Genomic DNA, 11,295 nt, shown 5'->3' on the forward strand with positions numbered 1-11,295 from the left:
GCTATATCCTCAGGACAAACCTGATAGGTTTCTCACTCACACATCATTGGCTATGTGATTAGTTTTGTGATAAGTACAATGGCACAATTCTTAAATTCTTGTATTATAGCAATAAATCTCATTTTCCATGTAAAGTGTCAGTGGAACTAAGAATGATTTATGATAGTAAACATCAAAATGATCGTATTTTAATAAATTTCCACAGATTCATCCAGTTTAAAAAACCTTTCTTGATTTCAGGTGTTTTCTCTCCTTCTCCTTGATCAAGGTTATTTGGGTTTCTATCTGTGACTTCTTTTGTTTTTATAAGGGTCTCGTATATTTTCTGGGCTCTGACAATTTCTTTCTGAGCATCAAAATGGACTTTTTGCCTGGTCAGGATGGGAACAATTAAATTAAAATCATTAATTCGCTTGTTTAATTTTCTGATGTTTTCTTGAAACTGCTCACAAACATGGTTCCACTGTTTCTTTTCAGTTGGTGTCATTGGATTCCCAAGTTTTTTCCTAGACACTAAAATTGCCTCTCTGAGTTGCTCAATAGTATCGCTTATTTCCTTTTGCTTAAGGATCCATTCTGGTTGGTATCCATTATCGATCAGTATTCGGTTCAGGTTGTGAGTCATGGGATCAATGTAAGAACAGTCAGAAAACTTTTTCAGAGGTTTTCCTTTCCCACTGAGATTGTCAAAGTCTCCTTTTGCCATGGATTCTTGAATGAGGTCCTCCACTAAACGTTCTATAGCTTGCGTTATCTTTTGCTGTTTGCTCTGTCTTATATTTTTAACAATTACACTATCAGGAAAATACTGGCTTTGTAGTTTCTGCTTTTGATATTCCATCACTTGTTCAGCAGCACGGTCTGCCCTAAATTGCCTATAATGCTTCTCTCGTTGAGTTGGAGTCCCAAAACCAATACCTTCAAAACTTAAATAATGTCGGTGTTGGGGTGTTTTATATTTGAATTTTTCTACATCTTCTTCTTCTTCACCTTTACTCTGACTGGCATTTGTTTGTTCTATCACATGGGAGAGCACCTTTCTATAAGCTTTTTCAATCCTTATAAATGTTGCAGAATCAGCAGTATTAGAGCCACTGTCAGGATGATATTGCTTGGCAAGCTTATGAAAAGATTCCCTGACTTCATCTGCAGAGCATCCTTCCTCCACGTTCAGCAGTCTATAATATTCTCTGATCTTCTTTTTGGATTTATGGGTTGACATCATTCTATTTCTAATGATACCAAAATATGGAAGCATTTTCACTCGATTAGGAATCACTGTAGCCTTTATCAGGTGAGATCTTAAGATCTGAGCCATCATCACATACATTGTATTCATTATTGTACCCAGAGTTCTTCCTAGCAATGACCTATAAAACGACAACAAATATAGGTTGAACAAAGTTGTATTATCAGTTAATTTCTTATTTTCAGCAATAAGGTAAAAGATACAGCATGAATTTATAAGTACAACAAGGGGCAGTTCTTTTGAATGCTGCTGTCAACTTTTTCCTTTTTTTTTTTTTTTTGAGACAGAGTCTCGCTCTGTCACCCAGGCTGGAGTGCAGTGGTGCCTCCACCTCCAGAGCCACGCCTAGCTAATTTTTTTGTATTTTTAGTAGAGAAGGGGTTTCACCATATCGCCCAGGCTGGTCTGGATATCCTGACATGGTTATCTGCCCGCCTCGGCCTCCCAAAGTGCTGGGATTACAGGTATGAGCCACTGCGCTCAGCCTTTTTTTTTTTTTTTTTTGTCTGAGACAGGGTCTTGCTCTGTTGCCCATGCTGGAGTGCAGTGGCACAATCGTGGCTCACTGCAGCATCAACCTCCTGGGCTGAAGTGATCCTCCCACCTCTGCCTCTCATGTTGCTAGGACTACAGGCGTGCACCACCACACCTGGCTAATTTCTGTATTTTTGTAGGGATGGGGTTTCGTCATGTTGCCCACCCTGGTCTCCAACTCCTGAGCTCAAACGATCTGCCAGTTTCTGCCTCCCAAAGTGCTGGGATTATAGGGGTGAGCCACTGTGCCCAGCCACATTCTTTTTTCTTTTCTTTTCTTTTCTTTTTTTTTTTTTTGAGACAGAGTCTCACCCAGGCTGGAGTGCAATGGCATGATCTCGGCTCACTGCAACCTCTGCCTCCCGGGTTCAAGCGATTCTCCTGCCTCAGCCTCCCAAGTAGCTGGGATTACAGGTGCACGACACCACTCCTGGCTAATTTTTGTATTTTTAGTAGAGACGGCGTTTCACCGTGTTAGCCAGGATGGTCTCGATCTCCTGACCCTGTGATCTGCCCGCCTCGACCTCCCAAAGTGCTGGGATTACAGGCGTGAGCCACCGCACCCAGCCCCACCAGCTGCATTCTTATAGCTATATTTCACTGATGTGGGCAGAAAAGTGGAAGCTGATGAAGTTTAGTGTTAACATATTGTGGGGCCAGGCACGGTGGCACACGCCTGTAATCCCAGTACTTTAGGAGGCCGAGGTGGGTGGATCACCTGAGGTCAGGAGTTCGAGATCAGCCTGGCTAACATGGCAAAACCCTGTCTCTACTAAAAATACAAAAATTAACTGGAGGTTGCAGTCCCAGCTACTCGGGAGGCTGAGGCAAGAGAATCGCTTGAACCCGGGAGGTGGAGGTTGCAGTGAACCGAGATCGTGCCACTGCACTCCAGCCTGGGCAACAGAGTGAGACTCTGTCTCAAAAAAATATAGATAGATAGAATCTGGATTCTACCCCTCACTAACTAACCGTATATTTTACAAGTGGAAAGTTCTTAGAGATCATCTAATCCAATCTTCTCATTTAATGAGAAAACGTAGGTCCGGAAGGTTAAGCAATTTAACCAAGTCCCATAACAAGGTGTAAGCAAAATGGTTAGGGGTGGGCACAGTAAAAAAGGAGGCTTGCTTAACTGTCTATACCTCCAGCCGATTATAAACTGCACGAGAGTCTGCATCATCTCAAGAAGTCTTCTCATAAGACGACTTATGGACAAGGTACGTACCTGGTCTGATACTGGATTGAATAGAATCAAGTGTCCAAAAGACTTTAAGCTCCACAGCTCGCTAGGAAGGAGCTATCTGCCAGAGGCCAGAAAAACCATGATGAATTGTGAGGCCTCCCAACACGTTTGCTGCTATTGCAATAACATGGTCTCGAAGAGGAGGAAGACTTGTACACTGACAATGGCCAAAAAATACTGGAAGTGGCTTAATTGGAATTGGGATATATAAACGCTAAAACGGAGCTCCTGAGACCCCCTATTTTCTAGGCAATCGGTGCCAACGGTCTGGGAGCCGGCTGCGAAGGTGGTTATCATGGCAAGGGAGGTCGGTCCTGCCCCGCCCCCTCCTCACCTGCGCAGACCTGGGGTAGGGGTTCCGCGGCTCCCGCCCCCCTGCCGCGCCTCTGCGCATGCGTGCGCGGTCCGCCCTTCACTGCGGGTGTCCCTCCCACCGCCTCCAGCTGGTGCCTCCGCCGGGCTAGACCATTTGCCACTTTACACTGAGGGGCTCGGGGGTACGGAAGGCAGAATCGTACCTGATTGGGACAGGTGACCTTACCAGGAAAACGGACAATCTTCCGCCAAACGAACTTTACCCCGGAGGACCCAGGCAGGGCACCTCGGGAGCCTTCGTCCCGACCGGGGACCACCAGCTCCACCTCCGTCCCCGCCCCGAGCGGAGGTGGTCCGGCCGATTGGGATTGTGGGAGATGTAGTTCGCTAGAAGGGGCGATGTGCGCCTGCGCCTCTCGGGAGGGACTTAGGGGGCGTCGAAAATGATGTAAAGACCGAGTTGGCGGCGTGGGGAGTTGTGGCTCGGAGGGCGAGGGTAACTTTCTGGGGGCAGGGGAAGGCAAGGCTGTTTCCCCGGAACGGGACCGGAACAGGTTTATTCGGGGTCACAGAAGGAGTCACCTGCGCAGATACATGAGGCTTAAAACCTGCCCTTTTATTAATTCAAGTACTGTTGAGGGGCTGGCGACAGGCCAGAGGACAAAATCAAAATAGGGATCTTCTGGCTTGGAGTTCAACCACTGACGTGGGGACTGAGCATTTCCCCTCTCTGTACAGGAAGCAAGTTTTTTAACAAGGAAAAAGAAAAAGGATAAAAAGAAAAAGGCAGAGGCTTGGGAGTTTTCAGATCTGGGTTGAAAATCCTGTTTCTTCTGCTTGCACCTTAGGCAAGATACCTGCAAAATGAGAGTTGCAATAAATAGTAAACTATAGTAAATAGTATGCCATTGTGCTAAGTGCTTTATGTATATTCTCATTTACTTTTTTTTTTTTTTTTTTGAGACAGAGTCTCGCTCTGTCGCCCAGGCTGGAGTGTGGTGGCGCGATCTCGGCTCGCTGCAACCTCCACCTCCCGGGTTTAAGCTATTCTCCTGCCTCAGCCTCCCGAGTAGCTGGAATTACAGGCGCGCACCACCATGCCCAGCTAATTTTTTTGTATTTTTAGTGGAGACCAGGTTTCACCATGTTGGCCAGGCTGGTCTCGAACCCCTGAGCTAAGGTGATCTGCCTGCCTCGGCCTTTCAAAGTGCTGGGATTACAGGCATTCATTTAATCTTTACAACAGCCCTCTGAGATAAATGCTGTTATTTTCCCTATTTTACATATAATGAAATAATAATTGTATCAACTTCATTGACTTTTTTAGGGGGAGAATTACACAATGTATGTAAACCACTTGGCACTGTGCCTCGCACATTAAGCAATATTTTTTGTTATGACTGTGTCTCCTAAAAGGAGCCAGAAATAGGTATTAGCCTCCTCAGCTTCTACATCATAAACATTAGAATCATTTATTGCCATCTATGTAGGAACACAGAAAAAGATACAGTATAAACTCTGATTCTGAGGGCTTTAGTTATAAGCAAACAATCAACAAAATAACTCATGTGAAAGAAAATAGGATTTCTGGCCGGGCGCGGTGCTCACGCCTGTAATCCCAGCACTTTGGGAGGCCGAGGCGGGCGGATCACGAGGTCAGGAGATCGAGACCATCCTGGCTAACACGGTGAAACCCCGTCTCTACTAAAAATACAAAAAATTAGCCAGGTGTGGTGGCGGGCGCCTGTAGTCCCACCTGCTCGGGAGTCTGAGGCAGGAGAATGGCGTGAACCCGGGAGGCGGAGCTTGCAGTGAGCCTAGATCGTGCCACTGCACTCCAGCCTGGGCGACAGAGCCAGACTCCGTCTAAAAAAAAAAAGACCTGGCCACTAAAAAATTTTTAAAAAGAAAAATAAGGCCAGACGCAGTGCTCACGCCTGTAATCTCAGCACTTTGGGAGGCTGAGGCAGGTGGATAACCTGAGGTCGGGAGTTTGAGACCAGCCTGACCAACACGGAAAACCCCCATCTCTCTAAAAATACAAAAAATTAGATGGGCGTGGTGGCGCATGCCTGTAATCCCAGCTACTCGGGAGGCTGAGGCAGGAGAATCGTTTGAACCCTGGAGGTGGAGGTTGCAGTGAGCTGAGATTGCGCCACTGCACTCCAGCCCAGGTGACAGTGCGAGACACTGTCTCAAAAAAAAAAAAAGCCACCAAGCAAAACTTCCTAAAAGTTGCCAGTAGCCATCCCCCTCTTCTGCTTCCAGGCCCAGTAAGGTGCCTTATATCTCTCAATCTCATCCTTCTCCCAGCCTTGCTTCTAAATGCACTCCAAGGCCAGGCACAGTGGCTCATGCCTGTAATCCCAGCCCTCTGGGAGGCCCAGGTGGGAGGATCACTTGAGCCTAGGGATTTGAACCAACCTGGGCAACATAGGGAGACCCCATCTCTATTTATTTAAAAAAAAAGTAAAATTAAAATACACTCCAAGTGTCAACACTTCACGCAGAAAACAGAAATGTTGAAGTTAGCCTTGCTTCCCCAGCTGCTCAAGGACCTTTTGAAATCTTCAACTGAGTGCCCAGCGAAGGCTGGGGAAGGGGCGGGGACTGTCCATCCTCCTTCCCAATACCAGTGGTTTATCAGTGTATTCAGCCCACAAAGCAAGTCCCTTCTCTAGGTACAGGGGAAAATTTCATTAGTAAAAAAATAAGAATTTTCCCCTTCAATCCATTAAAATTATAAAAATACATAAAACAAGATAGAAATGACAGAATGTTCTCAATAAATTGACCATATAAAAGGCCATACTCTGGCTGGGCACGGTGGCTCACGCCTGTAATCCCAGCACTTTGGGAGGCCGAGGTGGGCAGATCACGAGGTCAGGAGATCGAGACCATCCTGGCTAACACAGTGAAACCCTGTCTCTACTAAAAGCACAAAAAATTAGCCAGGCATGGCACCGGGCAACTGTAGTCCCAGGTACTCTGGAGGCTGAGGCAGGAGAATGGCATGAACCCAGAAGCAGAGCTTGCAGTGAGCCGAGATCGCGCCACTGCAATCCAGCCTGGGCAACAGTGCAAGACTCCGTCTCAAAAAAAAAAAAAAAAAAAAGGCCATACTCATCCTCAGAGATTGCAACCAAACGATACATTAATTAATTTAAAAAATGTTTTAAAGGTTATATTCAGCCTAAGAATGATTCACACAAACTTTTTTTTTTTTTTTTTGAGACGGAGTCTTGCTCTGTCGCCCAGGCTGGAATGCAGTGGCACGATCTCAGCTCACTGCAACCTCCACCTCCCAGGTTCAAGCAATTCTCCTGCCCCAGCCTCGCGAGTAGCTGGGATTACAGGCGCGCACCACCACACCCAGCTAATTTTGTATTTTTAGTAGAGACAGGGTTCTGCCTTGTTGGTCAGGCTGGTCTCGAACCCCTGACCTCAAATGATCCACCTAGGGCTCCCAAAGTGCTGGGATTACAGGTGTGAGCCACTGCACCTAGCCCACACAAACTTTGGAATCTTGATTACCTCTGAAAATCTTCGGGTAGACGGGGGAGTGTCCCAAGATTTTCATTTTGAACCACTGTTCATAATAGGAAGAATAAAGTCAAATTACAGAGAGAGAAATAAATTATGAAAGATTCCATGCTATAGACCAGTGCCGTGGCACATACCTGTGGTCTCAGCTACTCAGGAGGTAGGAGGATCGCTTGAGCCCAGGAGTTTGAGGCTTCAGTGAGCTATAATCGTGCCACTGTTATTCCCGCCTGGGTGATAGGTGAGACCCTGTCTCTTAAAAAAAAGAAAGAAAAACGAAAGAAAGAAACAGTGCAGTCATAAAAGAGAATGAGATCATGTCTTTTGCGGGAACATGGATGGAGCTGGAGGCCATTATTCTCAGCAAACTAACGCAGAAACAGAAAACCAAACACTGCATGTTCTCACTTATAAATGGGAGCTACATGATGAGAACTTAGGAACACAAGGAAACAACAGACACTGGGGTCTGCTTGAGGTGGGAGGGTGGGAGGAGGGAGCGGAGGAAAACAGAGAGCTATTGGGTACTGGGCTAAATACCTGCATGATGAAGTAATCTGTACACCAACCCCCCATGACATAAGTGCACCTATGTACCCCTTATAGGTGTAAGCCACCGCGCCCGGCCAGTAATTACAATAAGGAGACGCTATGTACAGTTGTCTCCCTCCAGATGACCTGGTCACTTCTCCACTCTTTGGGCTAAATTGTGCCCCCCATGTTGAAGCCCTAACCCCCAGTACTTTAGAATGTGACTGCATTTGGAGATAAGTTATTTAAAGAGGTGATTAAGTTAAAATGAGGCTGTTAAAGTGGGTGATAATCCAATCTGACTGACATCCTTATAAAAGGAGGAAATTTGGCCCCAGAGAGACATCAGGGTTGTGCACACACTGAGCAACGTCCCTGTGAGGACACAGAAAGAAGGCAGCCATCTGCCGGCCAAGGAGAGGCCTCAGGAGAAACCCACTCTGCAGACACCTTGACCTTGGACTTCCAGTCTCCACGACTGTGGGAGAATAATGGTCTCCCGTAGTTGAAGACCCAGTCTGTGGTGCTTTGTCACATCAGCCCCACCAGACCAACACAGCAGGTGTCTTTGATCCTTATACATCCCTTCAGTAGGTCCCAGGGATTTGTGTTACCCAAAATGTTTCCTCCCAGATGGAAAACTCTGAAAGCAGGTGGAAGCTTTCCCCCTCATTTTCCTCTTGCTGAACACACCCCTGCCCTGCAGGACCAGCTGTGGGCTGCTGCCTCCTGCTTTCCTCTTTCGAAGTCATTCTGCCAACTTGGAGATTTGGATTTGGGTGAGATGTGCTGGGGGTGGGATGTGGGGCAGAGTCTCCCCATCCGAAGAAAGGAGTTTCTGATCCTGGGATTTCGGATTTGCTGAAGGGTGCTTGTGCGGGTGGCACTGACTTTTCTCTCTTCTTGCTGTAGTTGGCCTCTAAGAGAAAGGCACCAGAAGCTCGTTCTCCGCTCTTTGAGACACCTTTCTTCAAGCTTCACAGCGTCCCTCTCTCTCTCTCCTGGGTCCCCCTACTGCACAGCCTACTCATACCCAGTGTCCTTGGCTGGCTCCGCCCTTCTCATGCAATTGGTGCTCTCAGATTCCACACCTCTACATTATGTTCATTATCTACTCTCCCTTGCCAATGCCAACGCCAATGCCTAAACCTCCTCCTCGAAGCTAATGACTGACCCCACAGTGGTGTCACAGTGTTGAATACAGGAATCCCTCAAGGTGTACAAAGAAGTCCCACCTCCCCTCTAAGTATCATCCCTCCCTCAATTTGCAAAAGAAAGGCACACCCCTCATTTACCCCAGACTGTTAACACCTTCCAGGCAGCAAAGGTGCAACTGAAAAGGTTGATTTACTGTGGGTGCTGAAGAAGGAAAATTAATCCTTTACAGATTGGATGGTTTGGCCAGGTGTAATGGTTCACCCCTCTAATCTCAGAACTTTGGGAGGTTAAAGGGGGAGGATTGCTTGAGTGTAGAAGTTCGAGAGCAGCCTGGACAACACAATGAGACCCTAACTCTACAAAATACAAAAATTAGCCAGGCATGGTGGCATGAGACTGTAGTCCCAGCTAATCAGGAGGCTGAGGTGTGAGAATCACTTGAGCCCAGAAGGTCAAGCCTGCAGTGTGCCGTGATCATGCCAGCGCACTTCAGCATGGGTGACAGAGCAAGACTCTGTCTAAAAAAAAAAAAGGCCGGGCGTGGTGGCTCACACCTGTAAACCCAGCACTTTGGGAGGCCGAGACGAGCGGATCATTTGAGGTCAGGAGTTCGAGACCAGCCTGACCAAAATGGTGAAACCCCCGTCTTTATTAAAAAATACAAAAATTAGCTGGGAGTGGTGGCAGTCGCCTGTAATCTCAGCTACTCGGCAGACTGAGGCAGGAGAATCACTTGAACCCAGGAGGCGGAGGTTGCAGTGAGCCAAGATCACGCCACTGCACTAGAGCCTGGGCAACAGAGTGAGACTCCCTCTCAAAAAAAAAAAAAAAAAAAAAAAGTTGCGTGGTTTCCAATACTTGGTTTTCAACAAAAGTGAAGGAGGATCTAATAGACTCCTCAGCTGAATATTTCATTTGAAATGATTTTCAGTGGTAGATTTTCCTGGTGCATATAACTGAAGCATTCAAGGAGTTGAGTGATATTGTTATAACAACTATTTTTTTTTCCTGTGACTTTCTGGAGTTTGGTGATGTCGGAAATTTAAAATGCTGTTTGGGGCCAGGTGCGGTGGCTCATGCCTGTAATCCCAGCACTTTGGGAGGCTGAAGTGGGCGGATCACCTGAGGTCAGGAGTTCGAGACCAGACTGGCCAACATGGTGAAACCCTGTCTCTACTGAAAATATAAAAATTAGCTGGGAGTCCGGGCATGGTGGCTGTTTGTAATCCCAGAACTTTGGGAGGCCAAGGCCGGCAGATCACCTGAGGTCGGGAGTTCGAGACCAGCCTGACCAACATGGAGAAACCCCATCTCTACTAAAAATACAAAAATTAGCTGGGCGTGGTGGCGCGTGCCTGTAATCCCAGCTACCTGGGAGGCTGAGGCAGGAGAATCACTTGAACCCGGGAGGCATAGGTTGCAGTGAGCTGAGATCTTGCCACTGCACTCCAGTCTGGGCGACAGAGCTAGACTCCGTCTCAACAAAACAAAAAACAAAACAAAACAAAACAAAAAAAAGCCTGGGTGTGGTGGCTCACGCCTGTAATCCCAGCAATTTGGGAGGCCGAGGCAGGTGGATCACGAGGTCAGGAGTTAGAGACCAGCCTGGCCAAGATGGTGAAACCCCATCTCTACTAAAAATACAAAAATTAGCCGGGCGTGGTAGCGGGTTCCTGTAATCCCAGCTACTTGGGAGGCTGAGGCAGAGAATTGCTTGAATCGGGGAGGCAGAGTTTGCAGTGAGCCGAGATTGCACCACTGCACTCCAGCCTTGGTGACAGAGTGAGACTCTGACTCAAAAAAAAAAAAAAAATTGTTGTTGAGGTTTCAGTGTCCACAGATATTTCAATTCATGAAACTTTCATTTTATAAAGCAAAATCAACTTGTAATATTAAAATCTTCACATCTTTATTGCAATGCTCAGAATACAGGTGGCTCAGGAGTTAGCTTCTTAAATAAGTTTACACATGAGGATTATCAGGTTAACAGATGGGGGATTTGAGGATTAGGCTTGCTACTGAGTCTTTAATATGATTTCTGTTACAAAGCCTGGAAGTTGGAAGTTCTACCTATATTCATTTAAAAGACTTCATGTTCTGAATGTGAAGCATGTTCAATGTACTCGTTGTATTTAAAAAAACTATGAATCAAATTTTTTATAAAAAAAGATTTTTTTTTTTTTTTTTAGGCCAGGCGCGGTGGCTCATGCCTATAATCCCAACACTTTGGGAGGCCGAGGTGGGCAGATTGCTTGAGGTGGGGAGTTCCAGACCAGCCTGGCCAGCATAGTGAAACCCCGTCTCTACTAAAAGTACAAAAATTAGCTGGGCATGGTGGTAAACACCTATAATCTCAGCTATTCAGGAGGCTGAAGCAGGAGAATCCCTTGAACCCGGGAGGCAGAGGTTGCAGTAAGCTGAGATCGCGCTACTCCACTCCAGCCTGGGTAACAGAGTGAAACTCCATCTGAAAAAGAAAAAAAATTGATTTGTTTTTTTTGAGTGACAGACAAGTTGGGTCTCTCCTTTTGGGAAACAGTTTTAGAGATATAATTCATATGCCATGCAATCATGAATTTGACATGTACATTCAATGGCTTTCAGTACATTCTTGTGGTTGTGCAACTATCACTGCAATCAATTCTAGAACATTTTCATCACTCAAACAAAAACCCCTGTACCCTTTTTTTGTCACCCCAAATACCTCTATCCACCTTAG

The 11,295-nt window shown here is 46.4% G+C and overlaps 1 protein-coding gene across 3 annotated transcripts; it reads right to left on the reverse strand.

Moving 5' to 3' along the window:
- On the reverse strand, nt 1-3,662 carry DNAJC28 (DnaJ heat shock protein family (Hsp40) member C28). Of its 3 annotated transcripts, none has more exons than NM_001320746.3 (2): nt 3,571-3,662; nt 1-1,370 (listed from the first exon to the last, which is right to left on the reverse strand). In NM_001320746.3, the coding sequence occupies exon 2, from the start codon at nt 1,337-1,339 to the stop codon at nt 173-175; it is 1,167 nt and encodes a 388-aa protein (NP_001307675.1). In that variant the 5' UTR covers nt 1,340-1,370; nt 3,571-3,662; the 3' UTR covers nt 1-172. The 3 variants fall into 3 exon arrangements, with proteins under 3 accessions (NP_001307675.1, NP_001035282.1, NP_060303.2); NM_001040192.3 differs by having other exon boundaries at nt 3,548-3,662; NM_017833.5 differs by lacking the exon at nt 3,571-3,662 and adding an exon at nt 3,012-3,347.

Source organism: Homo sapiens, chromosome 21 (assembly GCF_000001405.40).
Source record: "Homo sapiens chromosome 21, GRCh38.p14 Primary Assembly".
NCBI lineage: Eukaryota > Metazoa > Chordata > Mammalia > Primates > Hominidae > Homo > Homo sapiens.

Coding starts and splice junctions, on each gene's coding strand:
- DNAJC28 (NM_001320746.3), bottom strand. CDS start 1,339: ATGAATACAATGTATGTGATGATGGCTCAGATCTTAAGATCTCACCTG.